Source organism: Homo sapiens, chromosome 4 (genome assembly GCF_000001405.40).
Source record: "Homo sapiens chromosome 4, GRCh38.p14 Primary Assembly".
In the NCBI taxonomy this organism is placed as follows: domain Eukaryota; kingdom Metazoa; phylum Chordata; class Mammalia; order Primates; family Hominidae; genus Homo; species Homo sapiens.
The window spans coordinates 183,418,272-183,443,386 of NC_000004.12; the positions used below are offsets into that span (position 1 = coordinate 183,418,272).

Genomic DNA, 25,115 nt, shown 5'->3' on the forward strand with positions numbered 1-25,115 from the left:
GGAGTTCGAGACCAGCCTGGCCAACATGGCGAAACCGTGTCTCTACCAAAAACACAAAAAAAGTAGCCAGGCGTGGTGGTGTATGCCTGTAATCCCAGTTACTCGGGAGGCTGAGGCAGGAGAATCAATTGAACTCGGGAGGTGGAGGCTGCAGTGAGCTGAAATCGCACCACTGCACTCCAGCCTGGGTGACAGAGCCAGACTGCATCTGAATAAATAAATAAATAAATAAATAAATAAATAACTAGAAAACATATCTTGGACAAGAGCGAAAAATAGTGCAAATGGGTCCTGTCTTGGTCTGTTCCTGCTGCTGTAACAAAATAGCTTGTATTGGGTAATTTATAAACAATTGAGGCCCTGAACTCCTGGCCTTAAGCGATCCTCCTTCCTCAGCCTCCCAAAGTGCCGGGATTCCAGGCATGAGCCACCATGCCTGGCCTGGAAGATGTTTTCGTGACAGATGAGTTTTTCAATAGAAAACCCGCCTTGTGAGTCCCTCAATCCAGCCCCTCCCACCCTCACCCTTCAAAATAAATAAGAAAAGAAAAAGAAAGCCCCCTTGCCACACTATCAACACACTTCATCGCAATCCGGAATGTGCTGAACTTCAGCTCCTCACCTTGGCGGGTGGCCTGTCCACTCCCAGGACCACAAGCTGGTCTCTCTGGTGTGGCTCTCAGGCCAGCTGCTCCGGGGCTTCGTGTTCTCTTGTTCCATCCTTTTCACATCGCACACAAACACGGCCTCTGCTGGGCTGTGGACTCCCTGCAATTGGCCTCAGTGGAAATCCGTGTCCTCCAATCGGCAGGAAGGGGTGGGCATTCAGGACCACAGTCCGGGTTTGGCCTGGCAGGGCCACGTCAGCAAAAGTCACATCACCACGGCCATGAGCACATGGTACTTGTGCTGCTGCCGAGCACCCTCCCTCACAGGAAGGATGTTGGTCCTCTTCTTGGTCAAGTTAACGAGGCACGGCCAGAGCGGTGGGAGGACTCCATGGCCTAGACTAGACCACCTGGGCCTACGATGTCAGAGACATGGGAGATGGTGGTGCCTGAGGCAGCCCCGAGGGAGAGCACCTGGGCCCTGGCTTGATGTGGGAGGGGTTCCACGCTTGGGACTCCATGCTGTCATCTCCCGGCGAAGTGGGGACTCTCTCCTCTCCATAAACTGATTCTCCAGGGACCAGATTCTCAGTGACTAGTGCATGATCCTTTCCTCCATAATGAAGACACCTCAGCCCATACAGATCCACTGTCACATTCTTCCCAGACTGCTTTCCTCCTCCTCTACCCCACCACCACCCCGGTGGCCACCAGAAAGGAATCCTCCATCACCTCTTCCTCCTCCTCCCCTATCTCCTCCTCCCCCACCACCTCTTCCTCCTCCTTCACTTCCTCCCTCTCTTCCTTCACCTCCACCTGGACCTCGGCCTTCACCAAAGCCTCCTCGACCCCACCACAACCGCCATGGTCACCAATGTCCCCTCAGCTGCTGAAGCCACCCCACAGGGACTAAAACCTGGCTTCATAGTGAGCCCTGACTTGCGCAGTTCCAGAATCCACAACGCCACAAGTCTGGGGCTTTCGCACGTGGGAAAGAGTGGAAGACATTTTTAAACACAAGAGTACTGAGGAGCAATTTATGCCACCATGCAGTACAGTGTGTCTTTTAAAGAATGCCGCGGTAGCTATGCAATTTGAGGAGTAAAAGCAGTTATGCAATTTGAGGAGTAACTAAATCCAATAATTGCTAATGCTAGTAATGCATTTTATTAAACTACATAAATACTTAATAAAACAGTAGTGCTGTTGGATTATCCAACAAGTAGATCAATGAAACAAAATGTATTGAATGAAATTGAGTATGTTGGCCGGGCACAGTGGCTCACGCCTGTAATCCCAGCACTTTGGGAGGCCAAGGCCGGCGGATCACCTGAGGTCGAGAGGTCGAGACCAGCCTGACTACCATGGAGAATGGAGAAACCCTGTCTCTACTAATAACAGAAAAATTAGCTGGGCGTGGTGGCTCATGCCTTTAATCCCAGCTACTCGGGAGGTCGAGGCACGAGAATCGCTTGAACCCGGGAGGCGGAGGTTGCAGTGAGTGGAGATCGCACCAGTACACTCTAGCCTAAGCAACAAGAGAGAAACTCTGTCTCAAAAAAAGGAAAAGAAAAGAAAATTGAGAATCTAATATGTTCCAGGCAGTGGGCACTACAGAACCTATGTTTGTATGTGGTTCCTGCCTGTGAGGTTACGCTATAGTGGAGACTGACCCTCAGTGACACTGCAGTTACTAATGATTAGAGTGACAGGGAGTTGGGGGAGGTGTGATGGGTTAATTGGTGTCCCCCAAAAAGATCTGTGCACCTGAGACCTGTGAATGTGGCCTCATAGAGAGTCCTTGCTGGGTGCAGTGTCTCACACCTGTAATCCCAATACGTGGGGAGGCCAAGGATAGCTTGGGCCCAGGAGTTTGAGACCAGCCTGGGCAACATAGCAAGACTCTATCTCTAAAAAAAAAAAAATAAGAAAAAAATTAGCTGGGCATGGTGGTGCACACCCATAGACCCAGTCACTTGGGAGGCTGAGGTGGGAGGATCACGGCTGCAGTGAGCCATGATTATGCCACTGCACTCCAGCCTGGGCAACAAAGTGAGACCCTGTCTCAAATAAAATAAAAAAGAGAAAGAAACACTGAGTGTGCCTAAGCCCCTTGAGTGTGTATTCTGTCATGCCTTTCCCTCTAGAAGATAAAATTTGATAGTAGAATTGTTATAGATTTCCATCCTTGGATAAAATACCCAGAGATGTGCCTCGTCCCTCTGGGGCCAAGCCCGGAACAGAAGGCACAGCCTCCCGACTCTCCCTAGACCAGAGTTTCTCAGAGTATGATAAACACAGCACCTGAAAGCATACATTAAGGTTTAAAATCCAAGGCCCTTGCCCAGATTTCCTGAATCAGAGTCTGCTGGGGTAGGGCCCAGGAGTATGCATTTTGAAAGACTGTCTCATGTATTTGGACACACACTTAAATTTGAAAACCACTGCATTCACGCATCTATGACACCCCTTCTCAGCTCTAAAGCATCTGACCTACATTGCATTCTTGGCTCTGTTCCCGCCTATCAACTGAGCCTCCAACTACCTATCTAGAAAATAGAGAAAAATTTTATCTGCCGCTAGGTACTTGTCTAGCAGTCTTCGAAATCCTGAGATCAGAGGGTCCAGATAAAGGAGCACTATTATTTATCCACCCTTCATTTTCAAGAGACAGCCCTCAGCATTTTCCTTCCCTATTTGTGCTGGAATTTGCCAACGTTGGAAAGGCCTGGGAGCCTGGAAGATTGTTGTTTCTCTCTCACTCCATGTATGTGGCAGGTTAACATGATAAGTTTCTTTTTTTTTTTCTTTTTTTTTGAGACAGGGTCTTGCTCTGTCACCCAGGCTGGAGTGCAATGGCCCCGTCTCGGCTCACTGCAACCTCTGCTTCCCATGTTCAAGCAATTCTCCTGCCTCAGCCTCCCGAGTAGCTGGGACTACAGGTGCGTGCCACCACACCCGGCTAATTTTTGTATGTTTAATAGAGACAGGGTTTCACTGTGTTGGCCAGACTGGTCTCGAACTCCTGACCTAGTGACCACCTGCCTCGGCCTCCCAAAGTGCTGGGATTACAGGTGTGAGCCACCGCGCTGGCTGACATGATAAGTTTCAACGGCTTCAGATGTCTCTTTTTTTCCCTTTCCTTGAAATAATCTGAATCAAATCCGGAGACTGCCCTCAGGCCCAGCTGAGCTCTGAGGAGTCTGAGCTAGTCGTCTCCAAAGGACTCATAGCCAATCTCGGAAACCAGTTACTCCACAGGAAAGCCCGTCTACCTCCCAGCACCTCAGGGGCCCACAGCGCAAGCAGGTGAGCTGGCTGGACGATCGAGTTCCTGCTCAGTACATGGGATTATTCGCTTAACACTCCAGCAGCTCCACGAGCTGGGGTTCATTATTTTCATTTTTGAAACAGGAACAATGAGGCTCAGAGAAGTTAGGTAGCAGAAAGTCACACGACTGGTGAAGTGGCATCGTTGTGATTTGTGGCCGATAGCATCCTGTCTGTGACAGGAGGCACACTCTGGCACTGCCCCAGGCTCCAGCCAGGTCATCACCGTGATGAGCACTGGCTCCTGCCGGGCCTGCAGCCTCAGGGAAGGTGCTCCACAAACATTTGGTGAAAGCATGATACCTCTACCTAGGAGTGGTTACCTGCCCCTGAACTTGAGCTTCCTTCTCTCTCACAGGCTGCCTGACCCCAGAATGTCCTCCCTGAAACTATCCATCCTGCAAGCCCCACTCCTCTGTCCCACTATCTGATGGGACCCTATTTGTATTGGAAACCCCCTCCATTTCCCCACCAACTGCTTGGCTGTGATACCAGCGGTTTTCCAGGCAGGTGGGTTCCAAATATTTAGTTTGCTGGACTGAATTTCCCTGTGGTCCCTACAAGTGAAGATTTGTCGTTTTTCGAGGGCCTGACCCATCTCAGCGTGAGGGTCTTTGTCAAGGGCTGGGCCTATTCCTCCCACCATTTGACTGTGGCTAAACATCCTAGGCCCAGTTACATTCTCAGACAGGACAAGGTGCTGGATGGCTGACACCTGTGCAGGGACTTACTGCCTGTGCAGGGACAGAGATCACCAGGCTTCCGAGATTCTGTATTCCTTTCCTCCTGGCAATCCCATTAAAGTTATTACAAGTAATAAAATAGCACTAATCCCACAATACCAATGATACAGAGGCGCATTCAGCAGGCTAGGTATTTCAACACATTTAGAGAAGATGGGAAGGGTCTGAAGCGATGCAGGGAAAGCTGCCCTCCAGAGGGGGCATGTGGCTGAGCAGACGGCTGACCTGCCGGGCACAGCGCCAGAAGCCCCAGGTATACACAGCTCAGGTATGACAGGGGCAGGAGGTGAGAGGAGAGTGAAATAATGAAATGCAATGGAACATATACATATATATGTATATTTTATTTTCTTACAAACGTCACACATGCTTCTGTAAAGATTCAATTACTGCTGGAATGCCTAAAGTAAAATGAGTCATCTTTGCCTGTCACCCTCCAATAGTTGGAATGTACTTCCTTGGCATAATTATGGTTAACAATTTTTTTTTGTGGTGGGGGACAGAGTCTTGCTCTGTCACCCAGGCTGGAGTGCAGTGGCGCAATCTCAGCTGACTGCAACCTCCACCTTCCAGGTTCAAGCAATTCTCCTGACTCAGCCTCAAGAGTAGCTGGGATAACAGGCACGTGCCACCACACCTGCCTGGCTAATTTTTGTATTTTTTTAGTAGAGACAGGGTTTCCCATGTTGCCCAGGCTGGTCTCAAACTCCTGGCCTCAAGTAATCCACCCACCTCAGCCTTCTAAAGTTCTGGGTTTACAGGCGTGAACCACTGTGCCCAGCCTACTGTTAACACTTTTTTTTTATCTCTATCCCTGAATTTTAGTTTATTTTTTGAAACACATGTAAACACGTGCATTTGTAGATTTTTAAAACATAAAATGGGATCACACTATATGTTTTAAAATGTAGGTTTCATTATTATTCAGGTAGGGTGAGGCCAACTAATCAGGAAACAACTGCCATTAAAAACACAGTTTTGGCCAGGCCCGGTAGCATGTGCCTCTAATCCCAGTACTTCGGGAGGCCAAGGTAGGAGGATCACTTCAGGCCAGGAGTTTGAGACAAGCCTGGGCAACATATTGAGACTTCATATCTACAATAATAAAAATGAAAATAATTAGCCAAGCATGGTGGTGCACACCTGAGTCCCAGCTATTCAGGAGGCTGAGACAGGGGAATCACTTGAGCCAGGAGTTGGAGGCTGCAGTGAGCTATGATTGTGCCACTGCACTCCAGCATGGGTGACAGCGCGACAGCCTGTCTGTCTCCAAAGAAAAGAGATAGTTTATTACTCCCATTTCCCAAGAGGAAGGGAGACACTATACCAGGCAGGGCCACTTGGGGAGGTGCCAGGGTCAATCAGGAGGCAGCAGGAGTGAGGGGAAAGGCTGGCCAAGAGCCTCTATTGTGGTTTTCCTGGGAAGAAATGGGCAAGGCAGGCTCAGCAGGACAGGCAGGTACGGGAGTGTTTAGTCTGAATAACGGATGTAGGCACTACCCTAGTTGCTTGTGCCTGGCCCTGGTGTGATTAGAGCAGAGAGACAGTGGCCAAATCTGGGAGAGGTCAGTAAAGGAGGGAGGTGGCAGGGATGGGCTCTGGATTCATGAAAATGCAAAGTGCACTCCTAGGGGAGTCATTTGCTGTTGTAGGAACTAGCCAGCCCTGGGAGGGTTGGTTTCTCCAGGATCAGCGACACCTTAAGATGCCAGATTAGCAAGAGTACAGAAAATTTAAAAATAAAAATAAAAGGTTAATGTGGCATATCTCTAACTTTTAAGCTAAATGATGTGTTCAGGCTGGGCACAGTGGCTCACACTTGTGATCCCAACACTTTGGGAGGCTGGGGCGGGCAGATCGCTTGAGACCAGGAGTTGGAGACCAGCCTGGCCAACATAGTGAAACCCCATCTCTACCAAAATACAAAAATTAGCTGGGCATGATTGTGTACACTTGTAATCCCAGCTACTCGGGAGGCTGAGACAGGAGAACTGCTTGAACTCGGGAGGCAGAGGTAGAGGTGAGCCGAGAACACACCACTGCACTCCAGCCTGGGTGACAGAGCAAGACTCCATCTCTAAGTATAAAAAATAAATAAATAAGTAATGTATCCAGAACAAGAGTACATACATAACAGCTTGTTCTTTTTAATAACTTCATCATATCCCATAATTTGGATGTTCCCCATTTGAATGTGAATTCCATGAAGGGACAGTTTTGTCTCCTTTTATCCACTACTATACCCCAGAGTCTAGAATAGTGACAGATACAGGGTAGATGCTTAAAAATATCTGTCAAATGAACAAACAAATGGCCCACAATGGACTCAACCATTGCCTTATCAACAGATATACACATTGTTATTTTTTATTTCAGACAACACTTCAATAAACCTATCTGTATCTACGGTTGTGCCTCAGTAACCATGGAGGATTGGTTCTACAATGCCCCACGTCAGATACCAAATTCCCTGATATAAAATGGCATAGTATTTCCATAGAACCTACACACATCCTCTTGTACAGTTTAAATCAACTCCGGACTATTTATAATACCTAATGCAATGTAAATGCTATATAAATTACTGTTATACTGTTTTGTTCAGGGAATAATGACAAGAAAAAAATCTGTATATGTTCAGTTCAGACACAATCACCATTAAAAAAAAAAAAACTCCATCTGAGGTTGGTAGAATCCATGGATGCAGAATCCAGGGATATGGAGGGCCAACCCTCAATCTTTATGCACTCGAATTAGTTAGGACTGGGCTTGGAGAGTAAAAGAATGACCCAAATAATTGTGGCTTAGCCAAGACAGATTTTTTAAATATTTGCATTCATTTATTTTTATTTCAATAGTTTTAGGGGTACCAGTGGTTTTTGGTTACGCGGATGAATTGTGTAGTGGTGGAGTCTGAGTTTTTAGTGCACCCTTCCCAGGAATAGTGTACATTGTACCCAACAGGTGATTCCTTATTCCTCACCCCCTCCCCCCCTCCCCCTCCTGTGTCCTCAGTGTCCGTCATACCACTCTGTATGCCTTTGCAGACCCATAGCTTAGCTCCCACTTATAAGCGAGAACATCTGGTACTTGGTTTTCCATTTTGGAGCTGCTTCACTTAGGATACTGGCCTCTAGTTCCATCCAAAGTGCTGCAAAAGACATGATTTCACTCTTTTTTACGGCCGAGTAGTATTCCATGGTATACATATACCACATTTTCTGTATTCATTCATTGGTCAGTGGGTCCCTGGGTTGGTTTGATATCATTGCAACTGTGAATTGTGCTGCAGTAAACATATGCATGCAAGTGTCTTTTGACATAATGACTTATTTTTCTTTGGGTTGATGCCCAGTAGTGGGATTGCTGGATTGAATGGTAGGTTGGTCTACTTTTAGTTCCTTGAGAAATCTCCATACCGTTTTCCATAGAGGTTGTACTAATTTACATCCCCACCAATAGTGTCTAAGTGTTCCCTTTTCACCACATCTGTGCCAAATTCTTTCTTTAAAAACTTTTTAATAAGTGCCATTCTGACTGGAGTAAAATGGTATCTCACTGTGGTTTTCATTTGCATTTCCCTGATGATTGGTGATATTGAACATTTTTTTCACGTTTGTTGCCAAGATAGATATTTCACTGTCTTATGTTCAAGAAGTCTGGAGGAGGTCAGGTCAGAACTGATCTGGAGCTCCCTGGATTCGGGGCTCAAGCTCCTGCTACCTTGCCGTCTCTGCCCTTCACAGCTTCCACTCCGAAGTCCCCACATGGCCCATCTTGCTGCCAGAGCTCCAGCCAGCAGCCTGTATTACAGGAGGAAGAAAGAAACAAGTCCCAGGGAGCATTACTCCTCCTTTTAGAGGTTACTTCCTGGAAGCTGCTACTTCCAGGAAGTATATTGTATTGCCTAGAACGGCAGTGCAAGATCAAACCTAACTATAACGTGTGCTGGGAAATGACATTATTCCAGGTGACCATTTGCCCAGCTCAGCATCATAGGTTCCTCTGTTACTGAGGAAGGCAGGGTGGATGGATATCAGAAAACATCTTGCTCTTATTTCTGTCAGATAAATTTCCAGAAGTAAAATTGCTATATTGAAAGGTACATGCATTTAAACATTTTTAATAAACACTGATAGATACTTTCAACAAAGGCTTCAGTAATTGAATCCCAGCAACAGTGAATGAGAGGATCTATTTCCCTACTCACTAACATGGATGAGGGCAAGACTTTTTTTTTTTGGGGGGGGGGGCGGGGGGTGGGGGACGGAGTCTTGCTCTGTTGCCCAGGCTGGTGTGCGGTGGCTCAACCTCAGCTCACTGCAACCTCTGCTTCCCAGGTTCGAGCAATTCTCCTGACTCAGCCTCCTGAGTAGCTGGAATTACAGGTGCTTGCCACCATACCAGGCTAATTTTTGCATTTTTTTAGTAGACATGGAGTTTCACCATGTTGGCCAGGCTGGTCTCAAACTCTTGACCTCAGGTGATCCACCCGCCTTATCCTCCCAAAGTGCTGGGATTACAGGTGTGAGCCACCATGCCTGGCTGAGATGCAGGCAAAACTTTTTTTTTTTTTTTTTTTTTTTTTAGACAGAGTTTTGCTCTGTCACCCAGGCTGGAGTGCAGTTGCGCGATCTCAGCTCACTGCAAGCTCCGCCTCCCAGGTTCACGCCATTCTCCTGCCTCAGCCTCCCCAGAAGCTGGGACTACAGGCACCCGCCACCACACCAGGCTAATTTTTTGTATTTTTAGTAGAGACAGGGTTTCACTGTGTTAGCCAGGATGGTCTCGATCTCCTGACCTCGTGATCCGCCTGCCTCGGCCTCCCAAAGTGCTGGGATTACAGGTGTGAGCCACCACACCCAGCCTGCAGGCAAAACTTTTAAAGCTTGATAATCTGATAAGCAAAAGAAGTTATCCCACTGTTGTTTTGGTTTGTGTTTACGTGATTACTAGTAAAGCTTAACATCTTTTCACATATTTATTTGCCATTTTCTAGTCCTCTTCTATGACTTGCTTTTTTTTTTTTTTTATTTTTAAGACAGGGTCTCACTCTGTCACCCAGGCTGGAATGCAGTGGTGTGATCTTGGCTCACTGCAACCTCCGCCTCCCGGGTTCAAGCGATTCTCCTGCATCAGCCTCCCGAGTAGCTGGGATTACAGGCACCCACCACCACGCCTGGCTAATTTTTGTATTTTTAGTAGAGACAGGGTTTCGCCATGTTGGTCAGGCTGGTCTCGAACTCCTGACCCCAGGTGATCTGCCCTCCTCGGCCTCCCAAAGTGCTGGGATTAAAGACGTGAGCCACCGCGCCCAGCCAAAACGTAGTTTTAAAATCCTGGCTATACAGAATGTCAATGAGAAATCCTTTGGTTGCAAGTGGCAGAAATCCACCCAAAACTAGCTTTAACAAAAAAGGAGTTCACTGGTGTGAGAAAGAAAAGTAACTCAAAGCAATCCTACGCAAAAGATGCAAAATGTATCAGGCCCAGAAAAATTAGCTGGGCATGATGGTGCACACCTGTAATCCCAGCTACTCGGGAGGCTGAGACAGGAGAATTGCTTGAACTCAGGAGGCAGAGGTAGAGGTGAGCCGAGAACACGCCACTGCACTCCAGCCTGGGTGACAGAGCAAGACTCCATCTCTGAGTATAAAAATAAATAAATAAGTAATGTATCCAGAACAAGAGTACATACACAACGGCTTGTTCTTTTTAATAACTTCATCATATCCCATAATAATAAAAAAAAGTTATTACAAGTTATATAATGTGACCCTCACCCATCATCTTCTTGTTCCTAGAATTTGTGATACAAAGAACAATGTGTAGCGAATCAGTAGCTTATTTTCATGTTATTTTATGAACCAATGTAAGAACTGCCCCTTCTTTTTTTCTTTAAAAACTTACTGGCAATTGCTGCTAATCAGAGCATAAATTCAAGGCAACTGCAATCTGTGTCTCCCAGGTTGCAGTCCTCAAATTTGGCTCAAATAAACTCTCTACTTATATTAATTTTGCCTCAATTTCTTTCTTTAGGTCAATAGGATCATTAATGATACTATCTAAAACAGTACTGCCCTAATGTGTTGCTTTTTTCTGTGACGGAGTTTTGCTCTTGTCACGCAGGCTGGAGTGCAGTGGCGCGATCTCGGGTCACTGCAACCTCCGCCTCCCAGTTCAAGCGATTCTCCCCGCCTCAGCTTCCCAAGTAGCTGGGATTACAGGAGTCCGCCACCATAAAAATTTTTGTATTTTTAGTAGAGACGGGGTTTTCGCCATGTTGGTCAGCCTGGTCTCGAACCACTGACCTCAGATGATCCACCTGTCTCGGCCTCCCAAAGTGCTGGGATTACAGGTGTGAGCCGCTGCGCCCGGCCCCTAATGTGTTCTTATTCTGTTCCTTTCTCCTTAATAGAACGTATCACTACCAGAATGATCTATAGGTCTACATGTCCATCCATGCGTGCATCCACCCATCCATGTACCCCACCCATCCACCCACCCACCTATCACTATGTCTTGATGTTTTCTTCACCAGAGCTTCACAAGGACCGAGACTTGTTCACTGCTGAATCCCGGTGCCTGCACAGAGCAGATGCTGAGGACTGACCCTCGCTCTCTCCATTTCTGGGTTCTGGAGCTACCTGCTCCTTCACGATTGCAATCCATGCTCTGCATTCTATGCATCCAAAGGATACACACATTCTTTTCCTGGTTGCTCCAGCAAAAGTCTCACAATTGGCTTTCAGTGGCCAGGCCTGGGTGACGTGTCCGCTGGATCCAGTGATTGGGGCCAGCCCCATACAGACCACAGGGACTGCCAGAGGGAAAGGAGCAGAATCCTGGGGAAATCAGGAACTGTTATCAGACGAAGGGGGACAAGAACACAAATCCATTCTCTTTGGTCAGCCTGCTTCAACCATTTAGGAAGAGGTCAAGGAAATGTATAGACACAGACACACTGAGGGCTGTAAGAATTCACATGTGACAAACGTTAACGGTGAAACAAACAGGAGAAAAGCACAACCACTCGGGCCACACCCTTCACCAAGGATTTCTTCTTTCGCAAATGTTCTAGGTGTTTGTTTTCTTTCTCACTGTGATCTCCTAAGTCCAGCTCTTGTCAATACACATTCCTTAATCTAATAAAAATGGTTTATTATTAATAGTAGCAGCATTTATCAAACATCCACAAAATGCTAGGCAAGATGCTGAGATATTTATAAGGATTATCTCATTTTTAAATTTATTTTTTATATTTATTTTGAGACAGGGTCTCACTCTGTCGCCCAGGCTGGAGTACAGTGGTGCAATCAAGATGCACTGCAGCCTCGACCACCTGGGCTCAAGCGATCCTCTCACCTCAGCCTCTCGAGTAGCTGGGACTACAGGCGTATGCCACAACACCTGGCCAGTTTTTGGATTATCTCGTTTTATCCTCACAACAATCCTAAGAGGTAGTCACCACTGTTGTCCCATTTTACAGATGAAGTAAGCAAGGCTCAGAAAGGTTAAGTAACTCCCTTGAGGTCAAACAGCTGGCATGGTGAGAAGGAGATCCTCGTAGGCTTGGAAGCTTTTCTCCATGGGCAGGGCAGAGCAGGCAGAGCAGGGCTGGCTTGACTGTGGGACAGCAGAGAGAAGGGACTCTTAAGACATAGGGCTGGGTAGGGTCTGCACCAAGAAGGACGGCTTTCTCAGCCCCCCAGGAGCAGGGGTTTACCGGCCAGAGGTTTACTGGCCTCAGGGGAGCTCAGGGCCTGGTCAGCAGACTCGAATGCAATCCCTTAGGAATGCATAGCGCCCCCCACTGCCTCTCTCCTCCCTTCTGAATCCAGAACTGTGAGAACGACCAGGAGAAATGGACTGAGCCCCAGGCCTGCACTTTGGAGAGGCCGCCATGGGTGTGATTTCCTTTGCACTGTTTGGGCCTCTGGCACTTCCTGCCAGGCAGGAGATTTCTTGAGACTTCAAAGGCGGCACACAAGAGGAGTGTTAAGCAGATTGAGCACTAATAAAGAACTAACGCCTAGAACAATCACAGCTTCCCTGTGATTCCTGAGAGTGAGGAAAGCACAAAGAAGAAATGAAAGTCTCTCGCTAACCCTGGGAGAAACTAAAACATCCAGGAGCAGATTCTATACTCAGTAATGTGACAGAGTTCACAAAAAGGTTATATTCACACTCGAAGCTACTGAGGCTCATGCTCAGCTTCATCGAGAGTGGTATCACCATACCCAGAAAAAAATGGCCTCCTATGGAAAAAGCTAACCTAATATCATGCATATTATTCTGGAACAAAATAAGTAGAATGATATACCTTATATTTCTACAGTGCTTTTACTTTTTAAGAATTTTAATACCACAGCAGCCAACATTATCTTGTTGCTTTCTCACATTCCTTTATAAAAATTTTCTTTAGAATGTTCAAAATCACATTCTTGCTTCCAGAAAGTCGTAAGAATAAAATTGCATTTCTCTCTCTCTTTTTCTTTTCTTTTCTTTTTTTTTTTTTGAGACAGCCTCACTCAGTTGCCCAGGCTGGAGTGCAATGGTACCATCTCGGCTCACTGCAACCTCCACCTCCCGGGTTCAAGTGATTCTCCTGCCTCAGCCTCCCAAGTAGCTGGGATTACACGCGCACGCACCACCGCACCTGGCTAATTTTTGAGTGTGTGTGTATATATATATGTGTGTAAAAATATATGTATATTTTTAGTAGAGATGGGGTTTCGCCATGTTGGCCAGGCTGGTCTTGAACGGCTGACCTAGGTGACACGCCCACCTTGGCCTCCCAAAGTGCTGTGATTATAGGCATGAGCCACTGCGCCGGCCGAAATTGCATTTTTAAATGTAAAAGGCCCCAGAAGGAAGGAGACTAAATACAGTTCCCAAGCTCCACACAGCTCTCCCCATGGGCCTACGTGGGTCTCCATGCTGAAACCTCGGGGTGAGGGGGAGGCCAGGGGAGGGAGTCGCACAGCAGTGGCCAGTGTGGCTCTGAAGGAGGTGCTGCTATGTGGTTAAGATTTTTCATACTGTGGTATGTACAGTCTTGCGTTGTTTTCTTCTTGCCTTTTAAGCATTGTGAATTCCCCAAGTGAGTTTAACTGTAAATCAACTTGGATCCTGGATCCTTTCTTTGTATCCGACTAGGGGACTTCAAGTGGTAGTCCTGACTAGCCTTTTCTCTTCTGGAGACCAGGGCTCGTAGAAACAATACTGACCTGGAAATTGTGTTAGTCACTGCTAAATGGCCTCTCTGAGCCTCAATTTCCTAGTCTTTCCTAAATTTCCTAAAAACGAGGAAACAGCTTCAGTTACCCCCAAGGAACCTGCCTATAAAAGAATTCCATGAATCTATGATGTCGTAAGACAGCAGTCCCCCACTTTTTTGGCACCAGGGACCGGTTTCATGGAAGACACTTTTTCCATGGAAGGGGGGTCGGCGGGTGGTTTCAGGATGATTCAAGCACATGATGTTTGTTGCGCACTTTATTTCTATTATGATTACATTGTAATATATAATGAAATAATTATACACTTACCATAAGGTAGAATCAGTGGGATCCCTGAGTTTGTTTTCTACAACTAGATGGTCCCATCTGGGTGATGGGAGACAGTGACAGATCATCAGGCATTAGATTCTCATAAGGAGCACACACCCCAGATCCCTCACATGCACAGTTCACAGTAAGGTTCTCACTCCTGTGAGAATCCAACGCTCCTGTCTGATCTGACAGGAGGTGGAGCTCAGGTGGTCATGCGAGCAATGGGAAGTGGCCGTAAAGACAGATGAAGCTTTGCTCACTTGCCAGCTGCTCACCACCTGCCGTGTGGCCCAGGGTTGGAGGTAGTGGCGGGGGGACCCCTGTTATAAGAGAATTGAAATGTTTAGAATTGAGTAATTAGATTTGAATTACTTTCAGTTTTTTTCTAATAGTTCTTCCCCCAATCCCCCAATGGGTATATTACATCTCCTCTCTCTGAACCAGTAACTCAAGCATATATGATCTCTGTCTTGAAAGACAACCAATTGAGAGGTGACAGCGTGCTGGCAGTCCTCAGAGCCCTCGCTTGCTCTCGGCGCCTCCTCTGCCTGGACTCCCACTTTGGCAGCACTTGAGGAGCCCTTCAGCCCACCGCTGCACTGTGGGAGCCCCTTTCTGGGCTGGCCAAGGCCAGAGCCCTCTCCCTCAGCTTGCAGGGAGGTGTGGAGGGAGAGGTGCCAGCGGGAACCGGGGCTGCGCGTGGCGCTTGCGGGCCACCTGGAGTTCCGGGTGGGCGTGGGCTTGGCCCTGCCGGCCCGGGCAGTGAGGGGCTTAGCACCCGGGCCAGTGGCTGCGGAGGGTGTACTGGGTCCCCCAGCAGTGCCAGCCCACCAGCGCTGCGCTCGATTTCTCACCGGGCCTTGGCTGCCTTCCCTCGGGGCAGGGCTCAGGACCTGCAGCCCGCCATGCCTGAGCCTCCCACCCGCTCCATGGGCTCCTGTGCGGCCCGAGCCTCCCCAACGAGCACCGCCCCCTGCTCCATGGTGCCCAGTCCCATCAACAGCCCAAGGGCTGAGGAGTGCGAGCGCATGGCGAGGGACTGGCAGGCAGCTCCACCTGCAGCCCCGGTGCAGGATCCACTGGGTGAAGCCAGCTGGACTCCTGAGTCTGGTGGGGACATGGAGAGTCTTTATGTCTAGCTCAGGGATTGTAAACACACCAATCGGCACCCTGTGTCTAGCTCAGGGTTTGTGAGTGCATCAATCGACACTCTGTATCTAGCTGCTCTGGTGGGGCCTTGGAGAATCTTTATGTCTAGCTCAGGGATTGTAAATACACCAATGGGCACTCTGTATCTAGCTCAAGGTTTGTAAACACACCAATCAGCACCCTGTGTTTAGCTCAAGGTTTGTGAGTGCACCAATCGACACTCTGTATCTAGTTGCTCTGGGGGGGCCTTGGAGAACCTTTGTGTTGAAACTCTGTAGCTAACTAATCTAATTGGGATGTGCAGAACCTTTGTATCTAGCTCAGGGATTGTAAACGCACCAATCAGCACCCTGTCAAAACAGACCACTCGGCTCTACCAATCAGCAGGATGTGGGTGGGGTCAGATAAGAGAATAAAAGCAGGCTGCTCCAGCCAGCAGTGGCAACCTGCTGGGGTCCCCTTCCACACTGTGGAAGGTTTGTTCTTTCGCTCTTTGCAATAAATCTTGCTGCTGCTCACTCTTTGGGTCCACACTGCTTTTATGAGCTGTAACACTCACCGCAAAGGTCTGCAGCTTCACTCCTGAGCCAGCTAGACCACGAGCCCACCAGAAGGAAGAAACTCCGAACACATCCGAACATCAGAAGGAACAAACTCCAGACGCGCCACCTTAAGAGCTGTAACACTCACCGCGAGGGTCGACGGCTTCATTCTTGAAGTCAGTGAGACCAAGAACCCACCAATTCCGGACACACAATGGTGATGCTAAGTCCACAATACTATGACCCAGGGCCACTGAGGCCAGGCCAACGCCCAGTGAGCAGCGGGACAGTCCACACACATCAAGCTCCTCTCGTGAGTCTAAGCTGAAGCCTTCGGCCACAGTGTATGACTCTACCTACTTGCTTACTAAAATGTGCCACCAGAGGCCTTCCCCCACGATAAGAAGTAAATTCACAGCCTTGGGGGTGATATAACCGTGTTCTTTTCCCTTCCTTTCTGGTTCTAGTTTCAGGTGGCAGTGATAAAAGGAGTGTTCTCCTCCTCTTAAACTCTAGATTGGAAAAATAAATGAATGTGAATAGACATCCCCCACTCTTCATTCTGTATCAAAGCCCTGGGGAATCCATTTTTACCACACTGAGTCTCACTGAAGTCAACCGCGTAAGCTCCTGCATTCATTTCCATGAGACTTGGCATTGTGGAAATAATTGGATGGCACTGCCCTCTAACACTCCTTTCAGGAAACAGAGAAAATGTGCCTTTGCTAGTAGGTGGAGTGAAAACTCGTCTGAGTGCTGGTAGGTTTCACCCTGTGTTTTCAGTATTGTCTTGTCAAGAGCAGTTATTATCAAGTCCCAAATGAGCCTGGCAGTACAACCCTCAATAAGGTGTTTAAAACTGCCTTCCCTAGTGAGAAATAAAACACTGCTTTTGTTCTCGTTTTTAAAATTGACTGCATAGTATTACCACTATCAATGAGGTGTTTAACATCAAAATTGTCTTCCCTGGTGGGAAGAAAAACGTTTACTTTGTTTCCTTTCTTAAAATTAATTGAGGTTTTTAAAAACTTATCCTTATTCAACCAACTGTCGCATAAAGGGGAGAAGAGACGAAAATGGGATTTTAAAATATTGTCTTTGGTGGCCCATCAAAGATTGTCAGCACATTCTTCCTGTTTAGGCCACTTGCTGAGCACTTTTCTTCGCCTTTGCTTCATTTCTCCCCCATTATATTTTATAACCTTGGCCTCATCGGTGCAGTCCTTGGTAGGGAGCTAATCATAAGATCTTTGCAGGAATGACTACATTGATCCATGTATTGGTTTTTTTGTGTTTTTGTTTTGTTTTGTTTTGTTTTAGATGGAGCCTTGCTCTGTCACCCAGGCTGGAGTGCAGTGGTGTGATCTTGGCTCTCCTCTACCTCCGCCTCCCGGGTTCAAGCAATTCTCCTGTCTCAGCCTCCCAAGTAGCTGGGATTAGAGGCACATGCCACCACACCCACTAATTTTTGTATTTTTAGTAGAGATGGGGTTTCACCGTATTGGTCAGGCTGGTTTTGAACTCCTGACCTCAGGTGATCCGCCTGCCTCGGCCTCCCAAAGTGCTGGGATTACAGGAGTGACCCACCGTGCCCGGCCTGATCCACATATTCTTTATTAGCTTGCAAATTTTCCACAAGGCTGCTCTATCTATTCTATAAGGTTAAAGAAATTGCTTATGAAAAATTAAAAATCAGCCTGTAGTATTAATACCTAAGGGGGCTTTGGCAGATATGGCTAAGGATGCTCCTTCCCTCATTTCCTCAGGGGATTCCGGGGGCGGCTCTAACCTTTAAAACTGCCTCTGCCTGCTTCTGCCTCTGCTCGAGGCGTGGGAGTTCTATGGCCATTGCCTTTTACAAGATGCAGCAGAGAAGAGAAGGCAGGAGAAGCAATGCCCTGGCTTTTATGGGCATAATAACAGGTTTCGGAGGACAAATGAAGACCCAGGCTACCTCATATCCAGATAAGAAATTATCCAATGGAAAGGAAAACTTGAAGGGTGAGGAGGGAAGCTAGGGAATTCGACTGCTGGTATGGTTCCCAGAAGAGAGGCCCCTTGTCCTGCCTACCTGTACCTCCAAGGCCGAATTGCAACTGGCCAGCGGGGACGCGGCGGTGGGGTGGGGCGGGGGGGGGGGGGCGGGTGGTGCGGGGAGAAAGGGAAGCAGAGAGGTGGGGAAGGATGATGGCAATTTTAAAAGGTTTGGGGGACCCATGAGTAAGGTGGCCATGCCCATTCCCAGCAGAAGCCAGCGAAGCTGCAAGATCTGGAGCATCCATCCCTTCTCCCTGGCACGGCACAGAGGAGTAGACTAGAAATGACAGTGTGCCATGTGTGGGCAAGTGGACTGAGAGGGCCTCAGAGAGAACCTGTGCTCCCCAGCACAGTGCAGTAGGCGATGGAATGTTCACCCGTGCCTGAGAGGGGCATGAGCACAGCAGGGAGAGTCACCTGACCTAAAGAGGCGCTGCTACAGGGATGAGGAGGAAGCAGCAGTGGCCTTTGTGGGCCAAAACCTGGTGGGAAGATGGCTATTTCAGGGGATGCCTGGGAGCGCCTCACCTTGTCCCTGACCCTGCCTTTGTGCCTCAGCACTGTGTCAGCTCCCTGGAATGGATACTCAAATTCGTACAGAAGGAAGTAAAATCTTCAGGTGACTGAAATTAAGTTTCCACCATTTGGTAGGATGGGACCTTAAAATAGAAAACAAATTTAGGCCGGGCGCCGTGGCTCACTCCTGTAATCCCAGCACTTTGGGAGGCCGAGGTGGGTGGATCACCTGAGTTCAGGAGTTTGACACCAGCCTGGCCAATGTGGTGAAACCCTGTTCTCTACTAAAAATACAAAAAATCAGCCGGGCATGGTGGTGTGCACTTGTAATCCCAGCTACCAGGGAGGCTGAGGCAGGAGAATTGCTTGAACCCAGGAGGCAGAGGTTGCAGTGAGCCGAGATTGTGACACTGCACTCCAGGCTAGCGAGAGAGCAAGACTCTGTCTCAAAAAAAAAAAAAAAAAAAGAAAAGAACAAAAATTTAATCAGAGGAAAATACTGTAGCTACATTTGTTTACACACCTTGAAATTATGGACAGAGATTTGTACCTACCATACTCAGAATTTATTTGAAAAAAAATGTTCTCTGCATAAACAACAAACAATTATTAAACTTTGTCAATATTACCAAATAAAACCTAAAATGTTTCTAAAGTTCATTAATTGGATTTAAACTATGTGCCTTTATAGACATCATCTCGTTTATTTCTTATGATTCATAGGTGCTGGTATCCCCTTTTACAGGTAAGGAAACGAAGACTTAGAAAAGTGAAATAATTTGCCCATGGACACAATGATGGTAATTAGCAGAACCAGAATTCCAACTCAGGAATGTCTGACTCCCAAGTCTATATTTTTGATCACTAAATTAAGCTCTATGCTGTTCTTTCCTCTGGCTTTCTAGATCCCTCCAGGAACATTCCTTTCTGCTTCCTTGGCTGCTCACATTTACAAGGCAATCACACATTGATGAACTGGAGCCCTGGGTACAAAGAAGCACAATTTTTTTTTTATCCTTCCTGCTCCTAATTCCCAAAGGGCCCAACAATTAAGTGGATTATTGTGGTCATAATCTTAGTTTTTTGATTTAACAAGTCTTTTTTTTTTTTTCTTTTGAGATACAATCTCACTCTGTTGCCCAGGCTGGAGTGCAGTGGCGCGATCTCAGCTCACTGCAATCTCCGCCTCCTGGGTTCAAGCAATTCTCCTGCTTCAGCCTCCTGAGTAGCTGGGATTACAGGTGCGCACGACTATGCCTGGCTAATTTTTGTATTTTTAGTAAAGACGGGGTTTCACCATGTTGGTCAAGCTGGTCTCAAACTCCTGACCTCTGATCTGCCTGCCTTGGCCTCTCAGAGTGTTGGGATTACAGGCGTAAGCCACTGTACCTGGCCTGGATTTAACAAGTCTTAGCTCAGTTCTTATTTATCTTTCAGTCACCACACCTTGTGAGTTAATCATTGGACAATAATCAGCTTGGACAGTAAGTTAACCACTCTGAACCTAGGTTTCTTTGTCTACGAAATAAATGCAATCTCTAAGGTCCTCCTCCAGCTTAAATTTTCCATGATTCTGAAGAATCAGGATCAAGTTTATTGGTTTATGGGAAGTTGAACTGCAGTTCTCCAAATACCAACTCTTCTCTGATCTCCATCTCTCTCGTAGATTTAAATCCCCCACATTCTGGGATGAGGGATAGGTGTAGAGCTTCACAAAGGGATGGGAAAATAAAATATAATAATATCTCACCTTGTCGGCATGAGGAGGAACATGAAGACTAAAAAGATGAAATTGTCTTCCTTAAGGCTCTACGAAACAGCATATAAAAATGTAAAAATTGGTATAAAAAGGTTTTTCACTTTGGCTAAAATGGAAGCCATCCTGACAGCAGTGCCTCTTAGAATTGCCTTGTGTCATTTAAACCTGCTTACTACTATCGTTTCTTTAACATCTTTTCTGGTATTTGGCCATCCTTCTATTCATATTGTTTTATCTCCATTTCCTTGAGTGTAAATTCTTTTATTTATTGAGTTTGTTATTTTCCTTGCATGATACTGACCTTACTCAGATATTTTATCATTCTTAGGGCGAGTGCATGACTCAGACCTGTACAGTCATTTCATACACCTGGATAGTGTTTATGTAAGGGATATATGACTCAACAGGACAAAAGAACTCCCAACAGAACCTTAGGACGCTGGCAGAAACTACCAGGAAAGAGAAGCTCTCTTGCTACTGAAGTTGCTGAGCTATGAAGAACGTATGCTGTGAGCTAATAGGAAGCATTTTGCCACTCCGTAGGAAGAGCTTGCCTGAGACTGTAGAGACAAGAGAAACAGGTTTCCTGACTATATTGTTTCAGTACCTGGATCCCACAGTCGGGGGAGAGTCCCCCTCGGGACTCTGAATAACACAGCCAATAAATTCCCTTTTTGTTTCAGCACAAGCCATTTTAAATCATAATTTTTTGTCACTAGCAACCGAAATTAATCAAACGAAAATCTGTGAACCTGTAGAGAAAGTCCATAGTTCTCTAACTTCACATCAGTAGATGCCCAAGGGGCCTTTCTGTTTTTTCGTTTTTGTTTTTGTTTTTTTGAGATGGAGTCTCACTCTGTCACCCAGGCTGGAGTGCAGTGGTGCGATCTTGGCTCACTGAAACCTCCGCCTCCCTGGTTCATGCAATTCTCTGCCTCAGCCTCCCAAGTAGCTGGGATTACAGGCGCCCGCCACCACTCCCGGCTAATTTTTGTATTTTTTTAGTAGAGACGGGGTTTCACCATGTTGGCCAGGCTGGTCTTGAACTCCTGACCTCAGGTGATCCACCCGCCTCAGCCTCCCAAAGTGCTGGGATTACAGGCATGAGCCACCGCGTAGAGGTCAATTGCGACACTACAGGAAAAGAAGGTAAAGTGGAGTCACATCTGACTTCCATTTACATGCTGGTTTTAGAAACTCACCCCCATGAAAGATATAACTTCGCAATCTACTTAATCCTCACAGCAGCAAACAAATTTATTAACATTTATTAATGTTAAGGCTTAATGTAAAAACAATGGCATAAATCCTGCAGGTAAGTAGGAAAACTTCAGAATTATCCATCTGCTGTCGATTTATCACTAGAGATTAGATTTTATCCTGAACGCATATTTTGGGAATATCTAAATATCTGTAATATGGTCTCTCCAGAATTTTCTTACATGATGTGGAAATCAAGAGCTACCTGCCTGAAGTTGATAGATTTAAAAATGATGATTAAGTATAATATTTGAATTTATGACAGGTAGCCAACGGGAAAACAATAAAAGATAACAAAAATTAGGAGAAAAAAGGGGTAGTGTAAATGATATGGATTTCTCAGCTTCAACATTCAGGAGTGAAATAAGTACTGCTTAAAGTTGAAAAAATAAGAAATGGAAGTATAAGCATTTAATTTGGAGTTATGAAAATAATCACCCAAAGAAATCAAGATAGAAATGACATGAATGCTGATGTCCACAGAGTGGGACCAGGTTGAGTGAGGGAGATTGTTTGCTTTCATTTATGCCTCTTTTTTTCTACTTAGATGTTTCATTTTTGTGTGCACACATTATATTTTTATTTTATTTTAATTTTTGAGACAGTCTCCCTTTATCGCCCAGGCTGGAGTGCAGCGGTGCGATCACAACTCACTGCAACCTCGACCTCGTGGGCTCAAGTGATCCTCCCACCTTAGCCTCTTGAGTAGCTGGAACTAGAGGTATGTACCAACACACCCAACTATGTTTTGTATTTTTTGTAGAGACAGGGTCTTGCCATGTAGACTAGGCTGGCCTTGAACCCCTGGGCTCAAGTAATCTGCCCACCTTGGCCTCCCAAAGTGTTAGGATTACAGGTGTGAGCCACCACGCCCAGCCTGTAATTTTAAATTGGCCAAAAAGACTATGTTCATCTAGGCAGCCTGCTCTTCTGCCCTCTAAAATATCCATTGCGAGCATTCTCTGCACCATCAGATGGCCTCCATGTCAACGTCTCAGCTCCAAACTTACAAACGTCTTCTTTTAAAACAGAGGAAGTGTCTGCCCACCTAAGGTTAATCTCTCCACCTGTGTGTGGATCCCAGCCACACCTATGTCTGCAGAAATTGCTAATTACCCTCTTTTTCTTCAGATCCTCAAACTCTCCTTTTCTGTGAGTTGCCTTCAAGCAGTGGGCAACATGCTCAGGCTACTCCCATCTGAAATTGAAGCCACCTTGACCCCATGACCCTGTCCAGCTTCCTCTATCTTCTCCCCTTTACAGCCAAATATCTCCATTTCCGACTCCTGAACTCACTCTGATATGGAGTCTTCATCACTGCAGTAAAAACGGCTTTTGCCAAGCTCACAGGTGGCTCCAGTCCGTAATCAGACTGTTACTACCTATCTTCATCCTACTTGATTTCTCAAAGCTTCTAACAGAGGGGATCACTCTTAAAACATTCTCTTACTTTTTCAGAACATCCCACCTTATCACTGTAATTTGGCAGATTTGTGTCCTCACACATCATTAGCATAAAATATTTCCCCTCACCATGAAGTATTTCTCACATCAAGTCATAACCTTGGCCATAACTGGAGTATTTGCTCCTCACAAGCCTCTCCACATGCAGACCTTCCTGCCAAAGGCTTTCTTGCTTCCACAGTCACATCCAGGAACAGGGGCAATCCCTTCATGTTGCTCCATGGGAAAGCCATCTGCAGAAAAGCCAGCTTGCCGCTGGAATTTTTATTGGATGTCTTCAGAGAGATATGCTACAGAACCAGTTTCAGTGAATGGGCTTCCACTTACAGCAGAAAATTTAATCCTGTGAACTCAGTCACTTGTTTGAAACTCAATTTGGGATGATAGTGGATCTTTCTCAATTCATTAGAATTCTCTCCCTTTTCTCCTCTGAGTAGATTTCTAGTGAGGGCAGTGGTGGGGTGAGGCTTGGTTATCATCCTAGCATTGTCTTGTGCTTTCTTCCCTGTGGGCTCTGCTGGGAGTATAACTGCTTGATCTACCAGCACAAGCAATGCACACTGATCATTTCAGGAGAGGTTGAGGGTCCTCTCCTATTGATGCGGCCTGACGGGCACTGGTCTGATGACTTGCTGAAAACTAGCTGCATCTCCCTTTGCTGACAAGCTGACCACCCCTAGCCTCATTCACCTTGGACCCTGGTGCTTGGTAGGCACTTCACCATTCAACTCTTTCTTGGGAACCTTTTGGATCTCCTCTAGGCCCTGTGAGATATATGTGCGTAAATGCGTGTGTGTGTGTTATGTATATATACACACACACATATGTATATATATATACACACGTGTGTTAGGAGCAGAGGAGGGAGTTGTATAGTTGGTTATCAAAGCTATAAAAGGCCCTTTCTATGTTCATTTCTAAAGGCCAACGCATACAGGCTCAGGGCACGATTGGGCTGTCTTCTCTCAGAAACTCGGGCAGAGCCAAGTCCTTCTGCTCTTAGACCCAAAATCTACCTAGCAATTTCTAACAGCCAACACTTCCCACCCTGCATCTTATTCCCTACTCCCATAGACTTTCCTAGTTATCACCTAAATTCTCCTCTCACCTTTTCTCTCAGAACGTCTCCCCCAGCTTAGAGAGGAATTTGTCTCTGTAGGTGGGAGGGTCTTTAAAAAAAAATGAGGCCGGGCACAGCGACTCATGCCTATAATCCCAGCACTTTGAGAGGCCGAGGCAGAAGAATTGCTTGATATTAGGAGTTCAAAACCAGCCTGGACAACAGTGAAACCTTGTTTCTACAAAAAAATAAAAAATTAGCCTGTCGTCGTGGTACCCGCCTGCAGTCCCAGCTACTTGTGGTTCATAGTCTTTGAATCTTTATATGCAAAGTCAACTTTTTAAGAATCAAAAAAGAAAAATGCATGTATCTTTTATTCCAAGCACCTGGTTTTTGCACAAGTACTCCATCTTTCAGACTCTATCGCTTTTATTATAATTAAAAAAATTGTTTGAAATTCAGGCTCTACTTGTTCTCCTTTCAAGGCAATGAAGCCCATGAGTGGGAAGAAGACTACAGGGCAACAAGAAAAAAAGTGAGAACATTATTATTATTATTTTTTGAGATGAAGTCTCACTCTGTCACCCAGGCTGGAGTGCAATGGCTTGGTCTCGGCTCACTGCAACCTCTGCCTCCTGAGTTCAAGCGATTCTCCCGCCTCGGCCTACAGAGTAGCTGGGACTACAGGCACGTGCCACCACACTTGGCTAACTTTTGTATTTTTAGTAGAGATGGGGTTTCACTACATTGGCCAGGCTGGTCTCGAACTCCTGACCTCATGATTCGTCCGCCTCGGCCTCCCAAGGTGCTGGGATTACAGGCGTGAGCCACTGCACCTGGCCGTGAGAACATTCTTGATTTAAAATGCACATATATAATCTAGGTATGCGATCATAGCTTCTTTTACTTGCCATGGTCCCCTTGCCAAAGAATTCATGAAAGGAGAAATCGTAATTTCTCCACCTTTTAAATAGCCAGATTTCTGCAATCCGTCCACCCCCTCTAGATTTTCAGCAATTATCTGTGAAAAGGAGGAAAGAACAGCAAACTAGAAGCAAAATCACAAAGCTTCAAAATTTCTTTGTGCCTCCGT

The 25,115-nt window shown here is 46.5% G+C and overlaps 1 pseudogene, besides 4 other annotated features; it reads right to left on the reverse strand.

Annotated features, from left to right (window-relative positions):
* Positions 614-1,534, reverse strand: FBLP1 (FBL pseudogene 1; annotated as a pseudogene).
* Positions 907-1,407: an enhancer, noted in NCBI's record as "H3K4me1 hESC enhancer chr4:184340331-184340831 (GRCh37/hg19 assembly coordinates)". NCBI's record gives its function as "activates a minimal SCP1, AML or CMV promoter by ChIP-STARR-seq in naive H9 embryonic stem cells {active_cell/tissue: H9 hESC(naive)}" and the evidence as "EXISTENCE:reporter gene assay evidence [ECO:0000049][PMID:30033119]".
* Positions 11,735-12,484: an enhancer, noted in NCBI's record as "OCT4-NANOG-H3K27ac hESC enhancer chr4:184351159-184351908 (GRCh37/hg19 assembly coordinates)". NCBI's record gives its function as "activates a minimal SCP1, AML or CMV promoter by ChIP-STARR-seq in naive H9 embryonic stem cells {active_cell/tissue: H9 hESC(naive)}" and the evidence as "EXISTENCE:reporter gene assay evidence [ECO:0000049][PMID:30033119]".
* Positions 12,485-13,235: an enhancer, noted in NCBI's record as "OCT4-NANOG-H3K27ac-H3K4me1 hESC enhancer chr4:184351909-184352659 (GRCh37/hg19 assembly coordinates)". NCBI's record gives its function as "activates a minimal SCP1, AML or CMV promoter by ChIP-STARR-seq in naive and primed H9 embryonic stem cells {active_cell/tissue: H9 hESC(naive and primed)}" and the evidence as "EXISTENCE:reporter gene assay evidence [ECO:0000049][PMID:30033119]".
* Positions 19,726-20,925: an enhancer, noted in NCBI's record as "P300/CBP strongly-dependent group 1 enhancer chr4:184359150-184360349 (GRCh37/hg19 assembly coordinates)". NCBI's record gives its function as "activates an origin of replication core promoter dependent on BRD2, BRD4, P300/CBP, MED14 and CDK7 cofactors, with strong dependence on P300/CBP, by STARR-seq in HCT116 cells {active_cell/tissue: HCT116}" and the evidence as "EXISTENCE:reporter gene assay evidence [ECO:0000049][PMID:35650434]".